This window comes from Homo sapiens, chromosome 7, assembly GCF_000001405.40.
Source record: "Homo sapiens chromosome 7, GRCh38.p14 Primary Assembly".
NCBI lineage: Eukaryota > Metazoa > Chordata > Mammalia > Primates > Hominidae > Homo > Homo sapiens.
Window position 1 is genome coordinate 141,708,063 of NC_000007.14, and position 26,674 is coordinate 141,734,736.

Here is a 26,674-nt window from a genome sequence, read left to right on the forward strand (position 1 = left end):
TTTTGTCAGTTTAAATTTTTGTTCAATTCCCTAGAAGCTTTAACTGCTAACAGCTAACAGCTGCAGGAGGGAGATGCCTGAATTAGGGCAGGTGTGTTTGGCACAGAGCTAAGCTGTGTCTCTGTCAGGGATACAAACTCCAGTCAAGATATGTTAGAGGCTGTTTAAGGATCATTATGATAGCCAGGTGATGCTAAATTGTAATTACCTGCTGTTAGCTATTGGGTGGGTGGGGAGGAGAAGGGAGGAGAGGGTGATATTTATAAATGGCAGGTGTAAGGAGTGAAAATAATTTCTTTTCAATATTAGCTTATTCCCAAATTGGCTAATGGGTATTTTTAAAGCCATGCTAAATTAAAGGAATTCAATTTTCTCACTAGTATTTGGTAACACATGGGAGACTATGTGTCATATCCAGAAGAGTTCTGTACATGAACTGCATTTAATTGCTCCGAGAGTCACTGGAGCTTTCTTTAATCAGAATGGAAATCAGGATAAGCTGAGGTCTTATAGATTGGTGGTACTTAAGGCAGAAAATTAACACCGTGTTTTGTAGCTGTTAGTTGGTAGAGGGAAATTCAGGCTACCGTCGCGAAACCTGCAGGTTAAGTTATTTTCTCCTCCCTGCTTCTGTAGGTTCACAGCGTTCCCTTCTGATAGAGCTTTTTGTCTGTGTTGTAAAGCTCTTTGGCTGAGATGGATGACAAAGATATTGACAAAGAACTAAGGCAGAAATTAAACTTTTCCTATTGTGAGGAGACTGAGATTGAAGGGCAGAAGAAAGTAGAAGAAAGCAGGGAGGCTTCGAGCCAAACCCCAGAGAAGGGTGAAGTGCAGGATTCAGAGGCAAAGGGTACACCACCTTGGACTCCCCTTAGCAACGTGCATGAGCTCGACACATCTTCGGAAAAAGACAAAGAAAGTCCAGATCAGATTTTGAGGACTCCAGTGTCACACCCTCTCAAATGTCCTGAGACACCAGCCCAACCAGACAGCAGGAGCAAGCTGCTGCCCAGTGACAGCCCCTCTACTCCCAAAGTAAGTAAGGGGTGGGGGAAAAAGGGACGCAGGTCGCCAAGCTCTGCTTTCCTGTAGTTTAGCTGATAGAGTGGATTCATGTGTGTATGACAGTCACCTCCAGGCTGTGTATATCCTCAATTACACATTTATTGATGAAAATGAAGAAATTAAAATTACCAGAAAATGGACAGAATTAAATGGTTTGCCAGTTGTCTTCTCAAAACCACTGGTGCCAGTAACTGTTGGCTATTGGCCACAAACAAATCTTGGGTAGAAAAAAGTCCCTAGTTAAAGAATATTGGAACTGGAAGGAATATTGAGATTTAGAGCTCCAGCTGTGCAGTTTACATATGAGAAAATGAAGGGCCCAAGACAGAAACTGTCTCACAGCTCAGCCAATGTTACAGACAGGACTAGAAACCTGATCTTTTTGGCCTAGTCTATTGTTCTTTCCATTACGCCAACTGGCTCTATTTTTGTGTGATTATTTACTAATACTTTCTAATATAAGAACGTCCACACTCACTGTTTGAACATAGTCATATCTCTTTGCTGCTGCTCCTCCCAGAAACAACTCCTCTCCCCTCCTTGGTCTAATAGAAGAACCTCCAGGTTCTTCTAGTATATGTCAGCAAAGAGGAAACTTGTTGATACTTCTTCATAAGCTGAGGATGGCAAATAAGCAAGAGTCCCTAGTAGCATATTCCTTTATTCTTGTTGTGATTGGTGTCCTGTTGCATCGTTCATGTTATTAAAGCCATAGTTGGGGCAGGGTTGCCTCTAATCAACTCTGGTGCCATGGTGTGTGAGTCCTAGGATTGGTATTAGCTCGGCTTCCTGCTGGTTCAGCCTGAGGCACTTAAGATCATCATAATAACATCTGTGATCCTGACTGCGACACAGTTGCTATCAGCAGGTCTCTTTAGTACCTGCTGGGTGTGGGTACCATGTATACCAGGAAATTCTAAGCTGCTTGTTTGAATTGTAGAAAAACTAATATGCTCCGATGTCTATCTCTGGGTTTTTCAGTGGTCACAGCACCAGCCAATTAATCACCCATTTATTCTTTGAGAATTCCCTATAGGTAAGGAGCATATAATACAGTCTCTGCCCTCAAAGAGCTTACAGTCTAGCAGAGAGAGAGTAGTTATGCCAAAAGGCACTATGTGATAAGTGTGGTCAGAACCCGCTGGACAGATTCTCAGTGTGGTGATCAGGAAAGAAAGAAAGGTATAGGAAGGGCAATGAAAGTTGGTCCAGTTTTGATATATGGGGGAGAATGGGCTGAGAGAATGTGGCTTTGAGTAAGAGTACACAGAGAAGAAAACATGACATTCATTTGATCATTCACAGCTTAACTGAACACCTTGATGTGTTAGCAGACCCTCTGCTGGCAAAACCCATTCACTGCCTTCAAAAAGAGCCCACAAAATGAATAAAGATTAAACAAATGAAACAATAAAGTTCAAAACGTGTACTAGAGGAATGGTTGAGCATGATGAGAAGGAATTAGGAATTACATCTCTATCAGGGAAGACTTTCCAAAGAAAGTAATGTTTGAGAGATGTCTTAAAGGATATTTGGAGTTAGCCAGGCAAAGAGGGGAATAGGAATTCTAGGCAAAGGGAAAAGCATCCACCAAGTTATGGAGGGGAAGGAGCTGCTACACTTGGAAAACAGCATGTTATTCAGTGTGACGGGCCTGTGTGTGAGAGAGTGCAAGAGATGAGGCCAGTGTAGGTGGGCAGAAGCTAGATCAAGATTTTAATCCTGAGAGTGTTGAGAGAGCCATTACCATGGTTTTGAGTAGAGGGATTTTTTTGGAAAAATCATGACCTTTGTATGTATTGTGGGATGGAGCATGAGAGAGCCTGGAGGTAGAGCAGTATTCAGAATAGCCCTGTTGAACAAAGAAGAGCCTGGACTAGGACAGTGAAAAATTCAGAGATGACTTGATGGAGAGGTCGAGGGAAAACGAAAACAATCTGATGACTGAGGTTTCTTGCTTGGTTCAGTAGACAGAATCAAGATAGATGACACTAAGGGATATATGGGTTTGGAGAAAAGCAGAGATGTGGTATAAAAAGTTGGATAACTGGGTATGGGGCACAAGAAAACAATGAAAATTGGAAATCCGTATTTGGATATCTACAGCATTTAGGAAGTAGTTGAGGCCATGGGTGGAGATAAGGTCACATAGCCTGAGTGCCAGAGTAAGGAGAGAAGTGGCCCAGTTAGAAATCTTGGATAATGCATTTAAGGGAGAGGCAGAGAACAGGGCTTGGGAGCAAAACTGAAATGCAACTGGGAAAGTACATACTTTATGAAAACACAGTTTGCGTTAGAGGAAAGAGGCTTGATGGCTGATCATTGTTATGCAGAAGACAAAGCTGCATGGGAAAGGAGGATTGGCTTAGTCAGTCTTGTCCAAGGGATGGAACCAAAAATCATGTGAAATTCAGTTCACTGTAAGGACTTCCTGACAGAATCATCTAGAGATAGAAGAGCATGCTTAGGAGGTGTAAGCTCCCTGTGGCTAAAAGCATAGAACACTCATTGATGACCGACCACTTGGTAGAAATACTGCAGAAGGGATTTGTTAGTCTGTTTGCCTTGCTACAAAGGAATACCTGAGACTGGGTAAATTATAAAGAAAAGAGGTTTATTTGGCTTACAGTTCTGCAGGCTGTACAGTAAGCATATTGCCTGTATCTGCTTCTGGTGAGGGCCTCAGGAAGTTGACAGTCATGGCAGAAGGTGGACAGAAACAAGGCAGCTTGTTACATGGTGAGAGAAAAAGTGAGACAGTGGAAGCAAGACAGGAAGGAAGTGTCAGGCTCATTTTAAACAACCAGATCTGGTGTGAACTAACAAAGTGAGAACTGGTTCATTACCATGAGGATGGCACCAAGGAATCTACCTCTGTAATCCAAATGCCACCCACCAGGCCCTACCTCCAGCACTGGGGATTATATTTCAACATGATATCCAAATGATACCAGGATTCAAGCATCAGGGGACTCATCATATTGACTGGGCCTTTAAAACATCCAAACATCCCAATAATACCAGGATTCAAGCATCAGGGGACTCATCATATTGACTGGGCCTTTAAAACATCCAAACATCCCAATAATATCAGGATTCAAGCATCAAGGGACTAATCATGTTGACTGGGCCTTTAAAATCCTTCTCTGTCCCAAGATACTATGTTTGTGTTTTTGTGAGAGGTTGCCTTCTCTTCTCACCATCTTCATAAGTCAAGTAGCTATCCCCCAAATTTCCCTTATCTCCCTCAATCATCTGTGCTACAGCTATTCCTTATGGAATTATTTGCCCTCTCTAGAGCACATTTATACTCTCAACCTGTGTCATCTTTCAATAAATTTTCAAATTCCTCTGCTTCCAAGCAGAAGTTCTTTTCATATGTCTTATCTCAAACTATGTTATTTGAGATTTTGAAAGGGTTACTCATAATTCTATTATTCCAGCAATAACGACTATATTAACATAATATTCTTCCCTACATCATAAGTGGTGCTCACAAATTCTCTTGGCCCTCATATTTCCTGACTAGAAATTCTAATATTGTCTTCCCTGATATGAATAATTTTTATCTGAATATTTTCTAGGCCCCTTATACTTTCTTTGAGATGTGACAACTAGAACTATGTGCTGCATTCCAGGTGTGGCTACCCACTGTTTCATATGTAATAGATGTGTTTTACTTTCCATATGATAATCAGCATTACAAAAAACGAATTCTCAGAATGACTTACTACAAAATGCTAGGTTCATTTTGCAAATCACATTGATAACTGAGAAATATCATTATAGTTTCACTTATTTTGAACCAATCCTCAGTCTTCATGATAAACACGCAGGAAAGCTGTGAGTCTGTCAGCGAGGGCTTGTCTGCCTCCTGGATTCTTCAAGCAGCCCTATGAACTCCAAGATAGGAGAAACACTTGACTCTGGCAATGACGTCATTTTTCTTCACTTAAAAAAAAGGCTAGGTTACTATGTAAATTCTATAGCTTCCTTCATTCCTGCTTATTCAATCATTTATTTAGTATTTACAATAGATCCAATATTCATTTTTGGTAGCCTCACATTCTTTAATGAATCACGCAATCTGGCTTCTGCTTCTACACTAAAATATCATGGGCAGAGATGATCAGAACTGTAGAAGTCTTTTAGAAAGAGCCTCACAGTGCAATGCTTATACTGTGGCCCCTGTGTGTGCTGCCATACTCCTGAAGATCCATAACACAGCTACTCCTCTGGCCCCTGACATCAGGTCAGCATTCTGCCTTGGAATTCTTTGGCTTTTCCCTTCGCCCTTTGGTTTCATTCTGGTTAGGTTTAGGCTGATGTTCTCTTCTTGTATGCCACTTGGAGTGGTAAGTCCTGCACATTGACCTATTTGTTGGTAGCTGGTTGTAGCCACTGCAAAGATCTGAATCTTAAGGGCTTAGAGTACTAATTTTCAATCTCATTACCGCACTTCATGAAGCACTTCTCAGTTAGTGCTTTATTTTAAGTGAAATTAAAAACTTTTTTCATGTTTAAATAGTCTATGAAATCTTTTCCTTACAAGGTGATTATTTCTGAAACACTGATGAACTGCTGAATAATGAACTATATATTCCTTAAGATTTAGAATTCACTTCTGTACCACTTGGCATCTAACCCAGCATCTGCTACATAGTAGGCACCAAACAAATATTTGGATGAATAATTGAGGGGAAGTTAAAGCATAAGCTCTGAGAATATAGTCATTTTTATTTGTCTAAACTTAATGTCCATGTCTTTAAAAACTGGAGATAGGACTACAACTGGTTTTCATAGCTAGCTAACAGAATTGCCCAGGGGAAGGGGTTGGAGCTTGACTAAAGTACAGATTCCTGTGTTGACTTCATGAATCAGAATATCTAGAGGTAGAGACTGGGATTCTATAGTTTTCATAAGAGGAGCAGTTACAATGCAACCAGTTCACATGGAACCAGATAATTTCTAAGGCCCCTTCAGCAAAAGCATTCTTAGATTCAAATATTAACTAGCTAACTGATAAGGAATGTCTTTACTAATGCTATTATGACTTGCCTTTTGTCATCCTCATTCAGACCATGCTGAGCCGGTTGGTGATTTCTCCAACAGGGAAGCTTCCTTCCAGAGGCCCTAAGCATTTGAAGCTCACACCTGCTCCCCTCAAGGATGAGATGACCTCATTGGCTCTGGTCAATATTAATCCCTTCACTCCAGAGTCCTATAAAAAATTATTTCTTCAATCTGGTGGCAAGAGGAAAATAAGAGGAGATCTGTAAGTGCTCTATTACTTATGACTTTTGAGAACTGACCCTACTACAGTCAAGTAGTAAGAAGTGAGTGTTAAAGTAAGATTAGGAACGAGAACTCTATTTGAATGAAATGTATATGCTTACATATTCTCCCCTTCCTAGATATCAATGCTGGTTTTACCTGCTTTATCACAGAGATTCCAACATCTTTCCATTCTGATATGTACTGTAGATGCTTTCTCTATAAAAGGATAAGACAGAATAAGCAATAGATCTCTGGCTTCTATTAGGAAGTTGAGTGGGCTATGGAATTGCATTCAAGGGGTCCCCTCTGGTTAATATGAGGCTGGCAGTTGGGGAACGTGTAGCTCAAACTTCAAAGAGTACGTTGCTGCTTTGAGTCTTGTGTGACTAGTGATGAAAGCTATAGAGCAAGGATTTGAACTTCTCTGTGGGTGATGGAAGATTGGCTGAAGCAAAAAAGCATTGCTTTCAGAGCTGCTAAAGAATAGAAAGCCAAACTGTACTATTCCATAAAGGGCCCTGAATGACAGAAATCATCCAAATAAGGATTGTGCATATTACTCAGGAACATTACTATGTCTCTCCAAGGCTTTTTTATAGAATGGAATCGCCTCCAAAGTGGGGCAGTCATTTATGTTCATATGTACTCAGCGAAATAAATGGACAGCTAACAATGTAAACTTTGCAGAGCATTTAATGTGCTATGTCAAGTTGTTTCTTTGGAGTCAATGAGTATGTGTTAATCAGTCTTTGACCAGAATAGGTTCTCTCAACACTATCTCCTTCTTACTTAAATAAACAGGACTTCAGCACAAGTCCACCCACCTACTTTGGCTACCAAGAATTCGATTGGTTTTAGTTCTTAAGGAGTCTCTGTAAATCATTATACTCTCACCGAAGCCAGCAACAAAGACAGCTAATATGAAATCCTGACACTTTTGTAGCGTCATTTGGTGCTTCTAAGAGAGTATTTTTCCTTATTTTTATAATTTATAAACACTTCATAAAGTATTACAATGTGGTACTAAATCACAAATACCAAGCATTGATTTATTTCCATGAATGTAGTGCCTTCCATTTGCCATTTCTACCTTGTGTTTCTCCAAAAGAAAAATCTATAGCTAGTTGAAATCTTGCTTAAGGATCCAGAATACAAGTATGCATGGCAAAGAGGATGTCTGCTGGTCACTTAGCTTATCGAAGAGTAATTGAAAATATCTCATCCCGGGTTAGAGCAGATTCTGCCCTACTTGCAGTCTACCTGTGAACCGATTACAAAGCCAGATTCTAGGGGAGGGGTGGGTGTCGGAAAGAGAGTGTGGTGTGGCAGTGAGGAGCAAATGCTTTGGTGTCAGACCTGGCTCCAAGTCCCAGTTCTGCCACTTGCTAATTGTTTGACCTAGAGTTATTTAACCTCTCTCTGTCTTGGTTTCCTAGTTTGGGGATAAAGATACCCATTTAACAGTTGCACATATGTTCTGTGCTCTCTTGCTCCAGCACATGGTGTTTTACCTGCTGAAAACCTCACTCTTTTCCCTTAGCTAGTTCCTACTCGTTCCCAGAATCTTGGCTTATATATTCTCTCTTCTGGGAAAGCTTTTCACTCTTGAAATAATTGAGTGCTGTCCATGGTATCCTTGTTATCTTATCCAGTTCTAGGTTCTTGTATTGAAATTTCCTGGTTATCCCTGCCTCCACATATAAACCGAAGAGAAATGAATTGTCTTATTTACTCTTACATCCCTAGAACCTAGCATAGTTCGGCCTCAATAAATATTAATTATATATTGATAAACTTTTTTTTTCTTTTTTAAGTGAGGAAGCTGGTCCAGAGGAAGGCAAGGGAGGGCTGCCTGCCAAGGTAAGCGTAGTTCTTTGTCCCAGCGGCCACAATATAGGCAGTTTATCCTATTCTTTCTCTTCTTCCCCTCCCCTTCTCCCTCTCTCTCCTCCCTCCTCCCTTCTTCCCTACCCTCCCTTTTCTCCTTCCTCACCCTCCCCTCCTCTCCTTCACCCTGCACCCTCCCTCCCCTTCTTCTACCCTCTCCTTCTGCCCTTCTCCTTCTGCCCTCTCTTCCCCATCTCCCCTCCTCCCCTCCTTTCTCCTACTCTCCTTCTCTCCTCCCCTCCCCATCTCACCCCATCTCACACGCTAGCTTTGTAAATGTGCTTTGCAGCTGAATTTATCTGGACCCTAGTCAGGGTCTGTGTTCTCAGCTAGTTGTAACTCTGCCAGGCAGTGTCTGATATGTATATGCTGGATCATTACTTTAGAGTAATTTTAAAATTACATATTTCTGCTACTATTTTAATCTGGAGAAAAACTCTACACTCATGGGGTAGAGAAGTGAAGGGAAAATTAAGATATTTTTGGTCTCAAAATAGAAAAAGATAATGGAAAAAAGGGGCATAGAGCCAGAGATTTATATGTAAAATTTTAGCTCTTAAATGTATCAATATTTGATTTTATAATGTTCACAATCTTTGATCCATCCCTCATTTGATAATCTAACCTAAGAAAATAATACTGCAAACATTATCCTTAGAGATGTTTATTGTAACAGCAAAAAAGGGGGGAGACCAAATGCCTGATAATAGAAAAATGGCTAAGCTAATTACAGTTTTAAGTCAGTGAAATACTAAATTGCCATTAAGATGTTTATAACACCTTGAAAACATGCGTATGTTAATGTTTAGTGTGCAAAAGACTCAAAATTTTATACGCTGAATGACCATAACTATCTATTGCACATTAATCACAGGGAGAATGAAATGGAGCTATAACCACTGCTATTTCAACATTTTTGAATGGTGGAAACTTCATATTTGTTTTTCCTTTAAATTTTTAAAGTTTTCTGAAGCAAGTTTTATTTGCGTAAATAAATATGTTAATATGTTAAAATGTTAGCACTTGGCTATTGTAAACATCACAGAAAAGGCGGCCACTGGCACAGGTGTTCCTTCAAATGCAAATGTTTCTGACTTATGCCTCCATTATTTTACTGTTGGATTTTATTCCTCACTTATTTTATAATTTATCTCTTGATTTCAGATAGAAATTCTAATATTTATTGAACATTAAATAAGTGCAAAGCATTGTATTTAGTTACACCCTTTAAGGAAAAACATCTGGCCAAACAGGAGTTAAAACCTTTGAAATTTCAAAACAATCTATATGTAAATTAGAAGCTATGAGATATATGTATTTGTGTATATGTGTATGTACATATGTGCAATGTGAATATACATATGCGTGTATATCTTTAAAATCTAGAAGTGGTTAGTAAATACTTCTATGAAATAGAGCTTGGGTAGGAAGAGATTGTATATTAAGATAATTTTAGGCTAAGGAAGTAAATAACTTTTAATGCTATCAAGGCAGGAGAACAGAGTTCAGGTGTAAGAGGGGTATGGTGGGTGGGGAGTGGTCAGGGATAGATGCAGATGGTATACTGGCTTCATTGGTATCTAGGGGGAGGGTAGTCAAGTAGTGAGTGCGCAGTTGGTAGAAGGTCTTGAGGCTTTCTTATCAAGAGTTTGAATTTCTCATGGGAAACAATTAGGCATCTCTGATTCTGTGGTATCATTTTGCAAAAATAATTCTTACTATTAGAAGAGTTAAAGAGAGGGCTGGTAGCTGTAGCCAATCCAGACAAGAAGGGAACAGAGCTTGAGACTGGCTAAGGGTAATGAAAATTAAGAGATCTTGCTGATGAAAGTGACCAGAATTAGATGTTGAAAATGAGGAAGTAGTAAAACCCAAGATTTTTCAAACTCATAAAGTTGGAGAAAAATTCTTCAGGATTGGGACACTGAGAAAAGATGACTTTGGGAGATAAATCAGCTTGGATTTAGATTCATATAAATTTATGGAGATTTTTGGTCATAATAGTTTAATGAGAATTTACTATGTACTTGACACTATCCTAAGATATATTACAATATATGTAATACTGTATATTCTCATGTAATATTTAAAAGAACCCTGAAGAGTGTTGCCATGATCTTCATCCTACAGATAGGAAAACTGAAAGGAGTTCAGATTGGCCTGGGGTTATTTACTACCTGGGCAATGAATGATGTTGCTAGTTGGCCAGTAGCGGGAGTGGTTGCTAGACCTGAGCACATAGTCTGAACTAACCAAAATTGTCAAAGTTTGACAATTTTGACAAAATCATTTCTCCAGGCTGGTATTTTTGGGAAAAGAAACAGAAAACAAGTATGCTTATTCAGCTTGAGATGGAAACATTAGCATTCAGACTTTAAGACACATAAAGAAGGGGGGTCTTTCATTTCTTTTAATTTGCTCCACCCAGGTCCCAGTTATTCTTTGAACTAAGGACAGTAGCTCTGGGAGTGAGAAGTTGTGTCCCCTTAGGAACATGTAGAAAAGAACAGTATGCCCAGATAGAGAAAAGAATATTGAAAAATAAGTGAGAATTGTCAGTATAGGGTTGTACAGAAGGTTACAAAGAAAACAAAGAAGATAGTCAGCAATTGGGGAGATTCTTGCTACCATGAATATTGACCCAAGTAGAATTCATTGCAGTCACCTCAAAAGTCTTTTTGAAAACTTGGAGCAACTTAGGACTGTAATACTGTTTAATTTTATTGCTTACAACATGGTAGAATTACTCTAATTTCCTTTTTATTAAAATACTTTAGAGATGTGTTTTACGAGAAACCAACATGGCTTCCCGCTATGAAAAAGAATTCTTGGAGGTTGAAAAAATTGGGGTTGGCGAATTTGGTACAGTCTACAAGTGCATTAAGAGGCTGGATGGATGTGTTTATGCAATAAAGCGCTCTATGAAAACTTTTACAGAATTATCAAATGAGTGAGTACCTTTGAAATGCACTAAAAATATAAACTTAGATTTGGAGAGTTGTTTCTTGTCAAATTATTTTAAATTAAAGCACCGATGTCATTAAAAATCATTTGTGTTTTAAAATCACCCCACATTATATGTTATCTCATATTCATAACCTTTCTGAGTTTTCCAGCTCAGAGATGTTACTTCCTAAAATACAACACGATCATTTTAGATCATGATGTGTTTTTGTTTGTTTGTTTGTTTTCTGTCACCAGGCTAGAGTGCAGTGGTGTGATCTTGGCTCACTGCAATCTCCACCTCCTGGGTTCAAGTGATTCTCCTGCTTCAGCCTCCTGAGTAGCTGGGACTACAGGCGCGCACCACTACACCTGGCTAATTTTTGTATTTTTAGTAGAGACAGGGTTTCACCATGTTGGCCAGGATGGTCTTGATCTCTTGACCTTGTGATCTGCCTGCCGTGGCCTCCCAAAGTGCTGGGATTACAGGCGTGAGCCACTGCACCTGGCCAATCATGATGTGGTGTTTTGTTTTGTTTTGTTTTTTTGTGGCTTTTACTTTCTACTGCTGGTCTTTCTGACTTTTTAAAAAATGAATAGATTTGTGGAATTGTCCTCTGGTGTCTGTTTCATTTATCAGAAATATTACCAAATAGAAAGTTATTATAAAGTCACTGGTTTATCTTTACTTTACATTAACAATGAATTCAATAGTAAAGTTTCAGAGACTACATGCAAGGGAAAATGAAAGTTTGTTTGATTCCCAGAACTGTTCAAAAGTTCTTCCTTAATCACAAGGAAAACACATATTTTCAGATCAGCCAAGGCTTTTTATGAACTGTGAGGATATACTTAACATGCAGAATCTAGAATTGCAGGTTTTATACAGGTTTTAGAATTCCTCTTTTTTTTTTTTTTTTTTTTTTTTTTTTTTTTGAGATGGAATCTAGCTCTGTTGCCCAGGCTGGAATGCAGTGGCACCATCTTGGCTCACTGCAACCTCTGCCTCCCAGGTTGAAGTGATTCTCCTGCCTTAGCCTCCCAAGTAGCTGGGACTACAGGCATGTGCCACCACACCTGGCTAGTTCTTCATTTTTATACTGAGATTCATCAAGTACTCTATTTTGCTTAATTTGTGTTGGGATTTTCTATTCCATAAGGAATATCTCTCCCCAAGGCTATTCCTGTGAGTATATCATATTGGCTGAGGCTAACATTCACTCTAATGACTGCCTAGCCTTTATAGAGATGAATCAAAGGCCCATTGCAATATCCACAATCTGGTGTACAGTGGCCTTCTCGTTAAGCCCATTAAAATGTTTTGATTGTGATAGGATGAAATGAAGACCTGATGCACATCTGCCATTGAGGCATAACCACTTAAAGCTCCTCTTTACATATGCCATGTTAAAATAAAAAAAAAACAATGGACTTTGGCACCAGGCTGACCAAGGTTCTGCTCTTAAGTCTGCTATTACCAGTTCGACTTTGGGCCACTTACTTTCAACAGCCTTCATTGTTTCCACTGTATATTACCAAATGATTATTAAGATTCAATGAGATAAAATAGTAAGCAAGCAGTGAGCTCTCAATAAATATTCTGCCATTGCTAGTAAAGCCTCATATTTTTAAGAAACATTTTTGTGTGCATTATCTTGATTGATGTTTTTATTCCTCAATGCTTTTCTGTCTCATAGGAATTCGGCTTTGCATGAAGTTTATGCTCACGCAGTGCTTGGGCATCACCCCCATGTGGTACGTTACTATTCCTCATGGGCAGAAGATGACCACATGATCATTCAGAATGAATACTGCAATGGTAAGTAGTATATAGATGAATAACTACGAAGAGGGAGATGAACTTTATAAGCCTTCAGAAATAAACTTTCCCTCCTCCTCATAGTTCATTCCACGGATAGCAGATATACCTAAAAAGTCTGTACTATATATTATAGTCTTGCTTGGAAGCACAGAGCTTCTCTTCCTCTTAAAGGGGTCCTCGACTTATTCTTTCTTTCCCTTCTGTTGTCAGGATAATCATTCAGTTCAGAAAATATTTATTCCATGCTAGGCCTTGGGCAAGTGAAGATGAGTTAGATGTGCTCCCTCCCCTTAAGCAACATCCAGGCTGGTAGAGAAACCAGAGCTTTGGTGGCTGCAGCCCTCCTCCTTGTTGGTAGCACCTCATGACCTCACCTACACACTTTGTCTTGGAGTGACTTCATTTTTTTTTTCTTTGAGATGGAGTTTTTCTCTTGTTGCCTAGGCTGGAGTGCAATGGTGTGATCTCGGCTCACCGCAACCTCCACCTCCTGGGTTCAAGCAATTCTCCTGCCTCAGTCTCCCAAGTAGCTGGGATTACAGACACCTGCCACCATGCCTGGCTAATTTTTTGTATTTTTTTTTAATAGAGGCGGGGTTTCCCCATGTTGGTCATGCTGGTCTTGAACTCCTGACCTCAGGTGATCCACCTGCCTCGGCCTCCCAAAGTGCTGGGATTACAGGCGTGAGCCACTGCATCTAGCCGAGTGACTTCATTTTTAACAAGCTCCAAAACGCTCTTTCCTTACTTATTGTTTCTAATTAATACGTCATATATAGTGTATAAATTCTAAGAATACTTGCAAAAAATAAAAAACTTTACTGTAGCCCTCCTTGTGTTTCCGAAACGAGCTAAATTTTTCTCCCTTCTGAACTTACATGTCATGCTAAAATAATTCTTTAAATTCAATTTTACACAGAATGCATTTAAATATTATTTCCCTCAAATTCCATGACTATCTCAGAGCTCAATGAGTGGAGCTATGGTTTTTGTAACTGCCAGTTAGAGCTGGGTCTCTATAATTTGAAGAACCTGCCAATGAACACTAATTAATAGTGTTCAGAGGCCGGGCGCAATGGCTCATGCCTGTAATCCCAGCACTTTGGGAGGCCGAGGCGGGCAGATCACGAGGTCAGAAGTTCGAGACGAGCCTGGCCAAATATAGTGAAACCCCGTCTCTTCTAAAAATACAAAAATTAGCCAGGTGTGGTGGCATGCACCTTTAGTCCCAGCTACTGGGGATGCTGAGGCAGGAGAATCGCTTGAACCCGGGAGGCGGAGGTTGCAGCGAGCCGAGACCATGCCATTGTACTCCAGCCTGGGTGACAGAGTGAGACTCCGTCTCAAAAAAAAAGAAAAAGTGTTCAGAAGCATTCTAATACCTTAGAATCAAGATCAGATAGCTATATGAATCCAGGCCTTTTATTTAATTGATAACAATAAATCGAGTACAGTTGATGTACAAATACTGTGGCTCAAATAAGATTTAGGTGTATGTGCAGCTTCTATATTCTCCTTGGGTTGGCAGTCATTAAATATTTTATGATCTATTTCTAATGAAATTAGACTTAGACTCCATTAATTAAAATTACTGATGGCCTATAACTACTAGCCTGACACTGACATGGAGCTAATCATTGACACCAATAGTAGCTATACGACTATGCCTGATTGATCTTCTAGTTAATAATTAGGTAAAACTTTTAAAATGTTAGCTGGTACATATTTGAATCAATGGGGCCATATACTGGATACCTGAGATACTGGCATTTTCTTTTCCTCTTTGAAAGCCCTGTAATTCTCCTTTCCAACATGTCTGTGGTATAAATAGGGCAGATATTATGCTTTGTACTGACACCGAAGTAATCTATTCGTTGGACTGAAGGCATTCATGAGGAATGTATTGATCAGAGTACTATGCCATTTTATACAAGGCTCTTGGGCATTTGGGGCTTTGATATCTGCAGGAGGTCCTGGAACTAATACCCTGAAGATATAGGAGGCCAATTGTATTTACTATGCTTTCATCTATAAGACTCATACTGTGGGGCTGTTCTCTGTTGTTCTTTCCCAGGTGGGAGTTTGCAAGCTGCTATATCTGAAAACACTAAGTCTGGCAATCATTTTGAAGAGCCAAAACTCAAGGACATCCTTCTACAGATTTCCCTTGGCCTTAATTACATCCACAACTCTAGCATGGTACACCTGGACATCAAACCTAGTCAGTGTGATTCCCTTCTGCCACTTCTACCGTATTTTGTTCTTTCTATGCTATCATCAAAATCTAGGTCTGTATGTCTATCAAGTGTCAAGGACGGTGTTTGCTGGCAGAACCCCTTTCTTCCATTTGTGTTCCTTAAAAAAAATCAGTTAAATAGTTTTATTCTCCCCTAGGCCCAACAGACATAGAAAAAAAGACTCTTACCCATATAGTAGTAAGGCCAAAAAAGTAAAATTAGGTATTTAATTTACTACAAAGGCAAGTGACAGCATATCAGCTACATTCTGATTATGTTTATGACTAGGGCTATACTCATTCTAACTCTGCACTGATTAAAGAGAAATGAGTAACTGTCACTCATTAATGTGAAACCCAAGGACAAGTTCTTACTATTTTTTTATTTTGGGGACAATAGTACTCTGATACCAGTCCCATCAGAGAATGGAGAATATATGAGATCAGTTGAACTTAAATAGGTATTATCAATCACTAGCTGTTCAGAAGCGATGTGAGATTTCATACAAAAAAAAAACCTTAGTAGTCTATGTCCACACAAAAGAAGAAAGGAGAGAAGCTGAATTGTCAAATACAGAAAAGAATCTTTGAGAGGAAAAAGCTTAGAAGTCATTACTTACATCTATCCTGTCATTTTTTTTTCAGGTAATATATTCATTTGTCACAAGATGCAAAGTGAATCCTCTGGAGTCATAGAAGAAGTTGAAAATGAAGCTGATTGGTTTCTCTCTGCCAATGTGATGTATAAAATTGGTTAGTCTGCCTTATAGCCTTACCAGTTACCATTATCCTATAAAATTTATAGTGATGACTCAATTTATTCATTTTAAGAAAGACATGCTTTTAAAGCTCTTTTGTTCGATTTTATTCTTTTTTCCTTTTTCTTTTTTTTAGGTGACCTGGGCCACGCAACATCAATAAACAAACCCAAAGTGGAAGAAGGAGATAGTCGCTTCCTGGCTAATGAGATTTTGCAAGAGGTATAGATTAGGGAAATGGAGGGTATTTTATAATCTGTTGAACCTTTGACTCTCAAATGGAGGATCTCAGTGCAAAAAATTAAAACTGTATATTTATCATTATAGTACCGCTCTTCCCATTCAGAATGGAGACCAAAGATAGGAGAGAAACTCTTCCAAAAAAGTGAGGAAAGCTGGCTCAGTCAAGGATGAATCAGTATTCAGACTATTCTTTCTAAATGTCCTTTACTGTTTCCCAATATTTCTTAGACTTCCTAACCTCATGGATTGCCTACTAAGAAGGAAGCCTTTTCCTCAAGCCCACATTGGTCCAATCAATCTATCATGCCATTATCCTTCTGATAGCACCACCAGTTTTGGTTATTGAAATGATGTTTAGTCATTGCCCATCTTCTCCAATGTCTGTTGAGTCAGGCCTAGGAAGGATATAACTTCTTCCTGGGTGATAATCAAGTAAAAATGAGTATTCCCTTCCTGTGATCAGCCAAGTTATGTAGCAAGCCTTTCTGAGCCTGACAGCAAAATGGCAGTAAGTTTCTGCCTTGGACTCCTCAGGGCACAGCAGTGTTAATCAGGTAGATTCGTGTTCTCTCTTCTCTAGAAATCACTAACTACAGCGAATGTATCTTTGACCGTCGTGTCTGTTTAAACCTTATATGCACTCGAATGAACCTTTCCTACCAGTTATATTTTAATCTAGACTCACCCTGCTTGGCATAGTAACTGGCCTTCCTGTCTTCTGTTTTGAAGGATTACCGGCACCTTCCCAAAGCAGACATATTTGCCTTGGGATTAACAATTGCAGTGGCTGCAGGAGCAGAGTCATTGCCCACCAATGGTGCTGCATGGCACCATATCCGCAAGGGTAACTTTCCGGACGTTCCTCAGGAGCTCTCAGAAAGCTTTTCCAGTCTGCTCAAGGTGATAGCTCTTACGAGATGAACAGAAGATGCAATATCTATTTTTTTAGTGCGATGGCAACTAGTTGGGCAAAGAAAAATGGAGATGCTAGTAGTGTCACTAACAGAAAAAGGAACGTGACTAGAAGTCCAGAAAAAATAAGGGGCGGGTCCAGGCATGGTGGCTCACACCTGTAATCTCAGCACTTTGGGAGGCCGAGGAGGGTGGACCACAAGGTCAGAAGATGAGACCATCCTGGCTAACACGGTGAAACCCCGTCTCTACTAAAAATACAAAAAATTAGCCGGGCATGGTGGCAGGCACCTGTAGTCCCAGCTACTTGGGTGGCTGAGACAGGAGAATGTCTTGAACCCAGGAGACAGAGCTTGCAGTGAGCCAAGACCGTGCCACTGCACTCCAGCCTGGGCGACAGAGCGAGACTCCGTCTCAAAAAAAAAAAAAAAAAAAGCAGGCAGCGGAGGGGGCGTGGATCGAGAATTTCTTAAGGAAACTCGGAGGATATTGTAAAATCTTTTCATGCTTAGTTTAAAAATCCTGTTACAAACATTTTTTCATTTGTCCCTTCTAACAACCCTATAAGGTAGACAGGTGGCATCTTATCCTGCAGTTGAGGAAACCATGGCTCAGAGCAGCTCCTTGACACCTGTAGTCACAATGAATGACTGGCTAACTCCAAAATCAAATCTGGTCCTTTAGCTCCTACTTCAGGGTTTTAACTATTGTTAGTGATAACAGTGATAGTACTAAAAGAATGAATTTCTATTATATGTAAGAAGGTATAAGACTACTTTATTGATAATTGATAATACCAATTATTTGAGCTATTAGAAAAAAGGCATAATGTCAATTCAAAAATCTATGTTTTACTTGTTCTTAATGACATCTGAGTAGTGTGGGGACAAGAAAAGGAAGATACTATGTTGAAATAGAAACAAAAAGCTTATACTGTCAAGAAGCTTAATCATGTCAAGAAAAGTGTATATATGACTTTAAATCATGTCTTAAGGAACAGGATTGGCTAGGATTCCCAAAACAGCCTTAGAAATATCTACTTCCTTGGAGATTAGATTTTTTTTATTTTTATTTTTATTTTTTATTTTTTGGGACAGGGTCTCATTCTGTTGCCTAGACTGGAGTGCAGTGGCACAATCATAGCTTACTGCAGCCTTGAACTCCTGGGCTCGAGCAATCCTCCTGCCTCAGCTTCCTGAGTAGCTGGACTGCAGGTGTGGGAGATTAGTTTCACAGTTTACCTGCAAACTTCAAATGTATTTACAAATCTGTCCTTCTTCCTGACTTCTTTTGCTTTCCTGAAAGGAGGCAAACTCTTCCTCCTTCCTTTTGTTCAGTCTAATCACCTATTTCCATATGTAAACCACTTTTGCATTTAGTTGATATTTCAGTACCTAAATGCTGGCCCTGTACTAGATAAGACATATATTAATTTTGTTAAATTCTAAAAATAGTTCAAGAAAGTGAATATAATTATCCCAAATTTCAGGTAAGGGAAATGGAGCTTCAGCAAAGTTTATACAACAAATGGTGGAGTTGGCTCTGAATTTGGTCTGAATTTGGTTCAGTGTTTTCTTCATTATATGACAGTTTCAGTTGCTGTATATAATTAGGTATTTTCTACTATATTCAAATCATGATAGGTTACATCGTCTACCTTAAAATAAATGCTTCAGGAATACTGTCATGTTGGGTTATTAATACTAAGTGAAAAAGCAACATGATGTGGTAGAAAGTAAACTGGAGTAAGAGTTGGGCAAACTGGGTTTTGGTCTTGTCCATTCCAGTAATTTGGATAATTTTTATCGAGAGTCTTAGTTTTTTCTGCTTTAAAACTAAGGCAATAGACTAGTTAGCCAGCCAGCTCCAAAATATGATTAAAAACAAATCAAAGGTGTGGACAACTGGTGCTACCAGACATGGACAATCCTCCTGCCCCAGGTGGAGCTCAGTTTTCATTTCTTTCCTCTGCACAAAGCAGAAGCAATGTCTTACAAAATCCACCAGGAGAAGCTGGGTTGGAGTTGGCTTGAATGGGAAGATTTTTCCCAATAGTGAAGCTTCTGTTTCTTTCCTCTTGGTCCTATATCATCAGAACATGATCCAACCTGATGCCGAACAGAGACCTTCTGCAGCAGCTCTGGCCAGAAATACAGTTCTCCGGCCTTCCCTGGGAAAAACAGAAGAGCTCCAACAGCAGCTGAATTTGGAAAAGTTCAAGACTGCCACACTGGAAAGGTATATTTTTGGATGATGGGGGGTCAAGAAAGAATCTGAGCACTACTCACAATGGTATGACTAGTCTACTGTGTCTTCTCTGTGGATTCAAGTATAAATATATTCACCATTATAATACATAGGTCCCTGCCCACAAGGAAACTGGCAGCATGCGGCTCTTTGTAGCATCGGGCTGGGAGGCTCTGTGATTAGGTTGCTTGAGAGAGAAAATTCCAGTTAACGCAAACAAAGGAAGCAAGAGTGAGGAATATAAGGAAATACCAGTAAAGAAAACTTAGGATTCTAAGTGACAGCAGGTATCTTAGTAACTGGTTGGTGATCACCTAATATAAGATAACCACAGGTAAGATGGGTAAGACCTATTTTAGAAACCCATAAATTTCAGGGGCAGGCAGGTAGACATACTGTCCTGGTACACATTTGGAGGAAGGATTATTTTTCTGAGCAAAGAAAACGATCTGTTCCCCTACTCATGTGGGCTTGTATTCATGCATATATTTACTTGTTAATCCATTCCTTCAATAAATGGGAATTCAAATACTTACCTGGCAGGGAAGATACCATGATCACGAAGGTGGTTTTTCCCAGCGTGGGGCTCATCGATTGCACTCCGGATGTGCTGACCCCTGTGATATTCCCAAATGTGGAAAACTCGACTGCATAATTTGTTGTAGTGGGGGACTGCATTCGCGCTTTCCCCTGAAAAACGGAAACAAAAAAATAGGAATTTGATGGGGTGGGGTTGGAGATGAGCAGTGTTCTGAAGGCATTTTTGAGTAATTATTACATATACTGTACACTGTTGAAAATACAAAAGAAGAAAATGAAAAATTGTCCTTGCTTAAAATAAGCTTAGAAGTCCAGCTTCTCTTGGATATACAGTCATCCATCTTGGAAAGATTAGCTTTGAAGCATCCCTAACCTGATTTCTTAGTATTAATAATAACTTGTAGAGACTCTTGGCCTTTAGTCAGGTAAATCTTCCTAATAAGCCTCTTAATATTTTTCTGTTCTAGTTTTGAATTCCATTGTCCCAGCTAATAAAGAAAGTACAAAGTACTATACTTACATATGTTATTCACAAGAATATAAGTACCTCTTAAGGTGTGGTGTATACATTCTGGGAAGCCAGCTATGGAGACACAGGTGACTATCATCAGCCAGTACCAGTGATGGGCACCTATCATAGAGATGGGGCAGACAGCATCTTGAAATTGTCTAGACCAGGGGTCCCCAGCCCCTGGGCCATGGACCAGTACCAGTCTGTGGCCTGTTAGGAACCGGACTGCATGGCAGGAGGTGAGCAGTGGGTGAGTGAGCACTACCGCCTGAGTTCTGCCTCCCATCAGATCAGTGGTAGCATTAAATTCTTATAGTACAAACCCTATTGTAAACTGTGCATGTGAGGGATCTAGGTTGTGTACTCCTTCAAGAATCTAATACCTGATGATCTGAGGTGAACAGTTTCATCCTGAAACCATCTCCTCCCCCGACTCCCCACCCATGGAAAAACTGTCTTCCTCGAAATCAGTCCCTGGTTCCAAAAAGGTTGGGGACCGCTGGTCTAGACCAAGTGTTGGAAAACTTGTTCTGTGACGGGCTAGAGAGTAAATATTTTATGCTTTGTGGGCCATATGCTTTCTGCTGGAATGATTTCAGCTCTGCTGTTATATGTTGTCAATGGCTGTTTTTACACTATAAATGAGTGGCTGTGTTCCAATAAGACTTTATTTATAAATACAGGTGATAGGCCAGATTTGACTCAGAAGTTGTGGTTTATTGACCCTGGTACCTTTCATATGTAGCCTGAAGAGCTGTTCACTTAATTTAAAGCATTTTAAAGATCACTTATACTCCAATCAGCAGAGCCTGGGGAGCTAAACCTGCCATGTTGTATGACATGTGTGTGTCAACCATTTTTTATGACAACCATAGTAACTGAATTTTCTATTCTGTACATAGCTCAGGCTTTTCGTTTCTGTAAATACTGAAACAAGAAGAAAAACATTTATATATTAGTTTTGATCATACATATCTCTGACTGGAGATCAAGTAGCCTTTGCTTTTTCTCCCTCGCACTTCAGGGAACTGAGAGAAGCCCAGCAGGCCCAGTCACCCCAGGGATATACCCATCATGGTGACACTGGGGTCTCTGGGACCCACACAGGATCAAGAAGCACAAAACGCCTGGTGGGAGGAAAGAGTGCAAGGTCTTCAAGCTTTACCTGTGAGTAATCTTCCCCTTAAGAACTCATTTTGCAGCCGGGCGTGGTGGCTCACGCCTGTAATCCCAACACTTTGGGAGGCCAAGGCAGGTGGATCATGAGGTCAGGAGATCGAAACCATCCTGGCTAACACGGTGAAACCCCATCTCTACTAAAAATACAAAAAATTAGCAGGGCGAGGTGGCAGGCGCCTATAATCCCAGCTACTCAGGAGGCTGAGGAAGGAGAATCGCTTGAACCCGGGAGGTGGAGCTTGCAGTGAGCTGAGATCACACCACTGCACTCCAGCCTGGGCAACAGAGCGAGACTCTGTATCTAAAAAAAAAAAAAAAAAAAAAACTCATTCTGCACCAGCCAACCTTTTACTGTAGAACCTCTGTAAATAGATATCAGCTGTCCCAACCTTCCTCTTATAAAATGAAAAAATTAGCCAACTTGAATGCCCAAGGATTTCAAAAGCTACTACTAATTTACCATTTATAGCCAAGATCCTAAAGCTAGTAAGGCTTTGTCTTCTCAAGGGTCCCAGACACAATAATTGGAAGCCATTTCTCTTCTCTATTGTTATATTCCTAATGCCACTGATCAATAACTTATTTACTTCTCACACTTTTGATGAACAGCAGGAGAGCGTGAGCCTCTGCATTAAAGGAAGAAAAGGAAAACAGCCCTTGGTTTGGCCTATGGATTACGAGGTTGCTGTTGCTGATTCCCCACCAAAGATCCCAGGGACTCGTTGTACATAGAAAGGAATAGAATTTAGTTTAGAGTTGAAGTCACAGCTTACAGAAAATGTGCCTGGATTTCCACAGCGCTTCCCAGGTTATATGATGCTGTTCCTAAGAGAGAATTCCCAGCTTCTTTGAGGAAGTGGGTCTCCTAATGTATACCCTTTCTGATATTGTATTTATTAAATAAATGGTTTCACCATTATGTGAGGTGGGTAAAAGTTAGACTGCATGCAACTTGGACATCTCTGAGCTGGTTGTTAACTTGCAGAACAAAAATGCTGTGGGGAGAGGCTTCAGGGAAAACTTGATGTGCCTGTGGTTGTTCTCCATCTATTTGCCCTGCCTCTCTTGCTGTTCTGGTTGGTTTGATATTCTGGGTCTCACCAATTTCTCTTGATTTTTGTGAGAATTTGGCTTTGTTTCCTGTTTTTTAAAATCATATTTTATCTAAATCCTTTTTCTGTACACATTTTTAAAGGAAGAGAATACTGTATTTTTAAATAAAGGTTTTTATCTTGTCCAAAGCCTAATTACAGGTAAAATATCCTTTGTAAAATGTAACTAACAAAGAATGAGAAATTTATGTCGGAGAACATTTTATGAATAAAAGGGTAAGAGAATTGAGTGGGTCAGTAGTAACAGGTCTTGGTGGCAAGTCTCAGCTTCACAGTTCCAACAGTTAATGATGGTCAGGATCTGCTAGAAAATTATGTTGGTCATAAAGGTATTTGATAAGCTCTGTTTGTGTCATCTTAGTGAATGCAACCTGTTAATGATAATGGCTTTTTCGCTGCTTGATTTTCTTCTTTTCCTCATTTTTAAAAGCTAATTAAGTTTTTTTAATTGAATAAACCCTAATACTATTCTTTGTTCTGCTTTGGAGTAGCAGTTCTTTCCATGCAATTAAGTGTGGTGTTGGTCTTCCTATAGCCCATTGCCATTTTTCTTTACTAGGCTCTGTTCAAAATTATAAAATGGGGTTAGTTTATCTCTTGCCACCTCCCCCTCAACACACACACACCAGGCCATGTTCCTTGTAGTATAGTACAAGGTCAACCACAATTTCTGATTTAGAAACAGGGAAATTATTAAGTACATCCAGTGTATAGATGAGAATTGTTTGGTTATATTAGTCTTCTCAGGCATTGATAACTATGACTGTTTGGGTCTACAGCCTCTTCTCTACTGTGTTCCTCAGCCTAGCTTCGCACCTGGTGCCAGTTCCATTGGCTCTGACTCTGGCTCTCTGGCTCCGGCTCTCTGGCTCTCGCTCTCGCTCTCACTCTCGCTCTAGCCCGCTCGGGTCCTCTCTGGCCTACTCGTGCTCGCTCTGGCTCGCTTTCTCTCTCTCTCTCTCGCTCTCTCTCTCGCTCTCTCTCTCGCTCTCTCTCTCGCTCTCTCTCTCGCTCTCTCTCTCGCTCTCTCTCTCGCTCTCTCTCTCGCTCTCTCGCTCTCTCTCTCTCTCTCGCTCTCGCTCTCTCTCTGGCTCTCTCTCTGTCTCTCTGGATCTGCAGCAGCAGGATGTCACCAAAATAGTATGTATCTGCATAGATACTACTGAGTGTGAGGGACTGCGTCTTCACTGGCCTTAGCGTTTCATCCCTTCCATTTCAGTTAGACGCTTATTTCTTACCTCAGTAAGTTTTGTTTTTGCACAGAGATCATTATATAACTTGGAAACTAATTATCACAATTATTTTATTAACATCATTGGGCTGGTAACATTAAAGAAGTTAAATTAAAATACTTTAGAAAATATGTTACTTCTCTATGGATGTATTCTAAATGTCAACACTGACATTAAGGTACCAACAGATACTCTTGAGATCTAGAGGAACACTATTGCGCTCTACTGGTCTAATAAGCTCTAACACATGTACCAGTTTAGAGAATCCATTTACTGAAAGTTGTAGAAAGATGAATATTGAAAGGTATGACCCTTTCAGCCTGAACGACTAAGGCTTTTTATCTCTAGATGAACCATATTTTCAATCTTGAATTAGATAAAAATTGTCAGGTTTTTCTTTAAATTAAAAAATAGCCATAATAACTACTAAGTATTACTAAAATTGCTTTCAAACCATTCTAAAATATATGCAAGTAATCAGTGTAGGTAATAAGTGCTGCAATTTTTCAGTAGTTATGAGGCTTTAGGTAAGCTGATTTAAAATCAAAGTAAAAACCTGATTAACATTTCTTTAAAAATGGATAATTTACAGCAAAACTGTCCAAGGCTTCCTATTTATGATAAAGTATTGCCAGTCTTGGTCTCTACCAATGGATGCCTATAGCTGGAACCTTTTTAATTTAGGGAGAAACAAGTCAGGCCAAAGGTGACTTTGCACCCCTGGGCATTTATGATACACATTTCTTTCTCATTCATCTTTGCAAATGATAAAAAGCCCTGTGTCAGTATACTACTGCCAGGCATTAAAGCTGATTAAAGCCATAATGCTACCTGTCACCACTTCACAGCATTGGGAAGGCCATCTCTGGGTCCATGGATGAACTACACAAAGTGTGTTTATGTGTATCCTATGGAGAGGTTTCAGGGCTTCCTCATCAAAATGCAAAATCTAGGTTTCTGAAAGGGTATCTCTGATACAAAAATACATTGGAGTCACTATTCTAAGTCCTCGATTAAAAAAATAATAATTTTAGGGCTCTTTGAGCATCCTTCTGGGTTCTTCCCAGAAATAAGAATGCTTATTTGAGCATCCCTTCTGGATTCTTATTTCCATACCCTGGCCTGTGGCCTGGGCCCTACTAGCCTGTCCTTGTTTTAAAGTATACTGTGAACTGGATATTCACAAGTTCCTTGACCTCTAAGAGCTCACAGTTAACAGGAGGGATGAGGTACCTTTGTGATCATTTGTTATAAGATGGACTGAGTGAGGAAAGAAAATGAAATGGGAGAACAGAAAGGAAGGACCGTTTGAGTGAAGAAGTCTGAAAGTGTGTGAGGGGAGTGCAGTTCAGATCCTGAGGATGGAGCAATGCAACAGAAGCATTTGTTGTGTTAGGAAGAGGGATCCATTTGATAACAGAAGAAAATGCTTTAATTTCTCCATGACATTTTACATCAAAAAACTGTGTACATTTTATCATGCTTTTCTTTGTCAAAGAAAAAACAACTGAAGTAGCAGCACTGTGACTCTCTCCAGCCAGCAATCTCGGGAGAATGTGTATTGGCAATTCCTGTCTGAGAATTCAGAGTACTCCAGACTCTCCACTAAGATGTTATTTATAAAGTTGTAAGAGTTTGCTCCAGGTTGTCTGTTTTCAATTTGCATGGTGCTTTCTGTATTTTTCTTTATACAACTTCTCCCACACTCCTTACTCCAAAGTATGCAAATAGAAAGGGAGATATTAGTGGCATCATGAAGAAAGAAATTTTAGGGCCAAGTGATTGGATACAGGTGAATGGATGTTGGTGGTCAGAGAGAGATGAAGCTGATTACAAAGTTCAAGTCTGGGAGAATCTTGGTACCATTAAACAAGGAGCTTAGAAGGGAGAAACTGACTTTGGGCAAAAGGGTGAATTGTTTTTCATTTGACTCTACCCCTCAAGTGGAAGCAGGATTTTTAAAGAGAAAATCATTGGAAGTCATTGACAGTAGTAACATAGCAGGTGGGGTGTGGGATTACTAATTCCTGTGCAAGGCTTGAAGGCAGTATAACATGGTATGTTTTAGGAGCTCAACATTGTGAAGGTGCCAGTAAAATGGAGGTAAGCATCTAGAAATACAGTTTACCAACTGGTGAGCAAGACCTTCAGGAGTGCGTTAAAGTGTGTGTGTTGGAAGCTATCTTAAGATTTTATCCCTAAATGGCAAAAATGGGCAGATGAAAGGTTTTAGGTAGAGGCCTGAGGAGGTGATTTGCCTGTTAGAACAATATGGTGGGTACCTTCTTTCTCCACAGTCTGGACAGTGCCAGGACCAGGAGAAGGAGTGGAAGGGGCAGCCCCCGCTGGTGTGGGTTCTGCAATTTATGGGGCTCCATACATCCTTTTTCCCACTAGGCCCAGGGTTAGCGTAAATGAGAAGGAATTTAAGGGGCACCAAGGAACTCAGCAATCAAGATTTGTGATACTTTAATGAAATATTCTTAAAATATTAAAACTAATGAAAAAAATTCATGATGAATAAAATACCAAAATTTTAAATAAAGACAAGATCAGTAAGCTGAAGTTAATTAAAATTATTTAAGGTTGTTACTTGGTCAAGAAAAATTGTGAAGGCATGGCAATTCTCTCAAAACAAGCAAAGCAGATTTGAACACATTACTGATCAGTTTACTTCCATTAAAAGTAAAGTTATATTACATCCATC

The 26,674-nt window shown here is 39.8% G+C and overlaps 1 protein-coding gene, 1 long non-coding RNA gene and 1 pseudogene across 4 annotated transcripts in view, besides 1 other annotated feature; 2 read left to right on the top strand and 1 right to left on the bottom strand.

Annotated features, from left to right (window-relative positions):
* Nucleotides 1-26,674, bottom strand: part of WEE2-AS1 (WEE2 antisense RNA 1) — a 34,228-nt gene that overhangs the window by 4,060 nt on the left and 3,494 nt on the right. The window contains exons 3-6 of one of the 3 annotated variants that reach the window (NR_015392.1): nt 19,930-20,083; nt 19,142-19,316; nt 15,854-15,962; nt 6,127-6,312 (exon numbers count right to left, since the gene is read on the bottom strand). This is a non-coding gene — a long non-coding RNA (WEE2 antisense RNA 1). The remainder of the gene's footprint in view (nt 1-6,126; nt 6,313-15,853; nt 15,963-19,141; nt 19,317-19,929; nt 20,084-26,674) is intronic. The other 2 variants (NR_199840.1, NR_199841.1) reach the window with 2 other exon arrangements.
* On the top strand, nt 291-23,209 carry WEE2 (WEE2 oocyte meiosis inhibiting kinase). The gene is made up of 12 exons (NM_001105558.1): nt 291-1,038; nt 6,147-6,343; nt 8,160-8,205; nt 11,010-11,182; nt 12,873-12,994; nt 15,072-15,218; nt 15,879-15,986; nt 16,128-16,213; nt 16,964-17,134; nt 19,242-19,384; nt 21,469-21,611; nt 22,233-23,209. The coding sequence occupies exons 1-12, from the start codon at nt 697-699 to the stop codon at nt 22,256-22,258; spliced, it is 1,704 nt and encodes a 567-aa protein (NP_001099028.1). The 5' UTR covers nt 291-696; the 3' UTR covers nt 22,259-23,209.
* Nucleotides 7,053-7,253: a silencer, noted in NCBI's record as "peak6798 fragment used in MPRA reporter construct". NCBI's record gives its function as "represses an SCP1 promoter by STARR-seq MPRAs in K562 erythroleukemia cells {active_cell/tissue: K562}" and the evidence as "EXISTENCE:reporter gene assay evidence [ECO:0000049][PMID:32103011]".
* Nucleotides 19,922-20,086, top strand: RNU1-82P (RNA, U1 small nuclear 82, pseudogene; annotated as a pseudogene).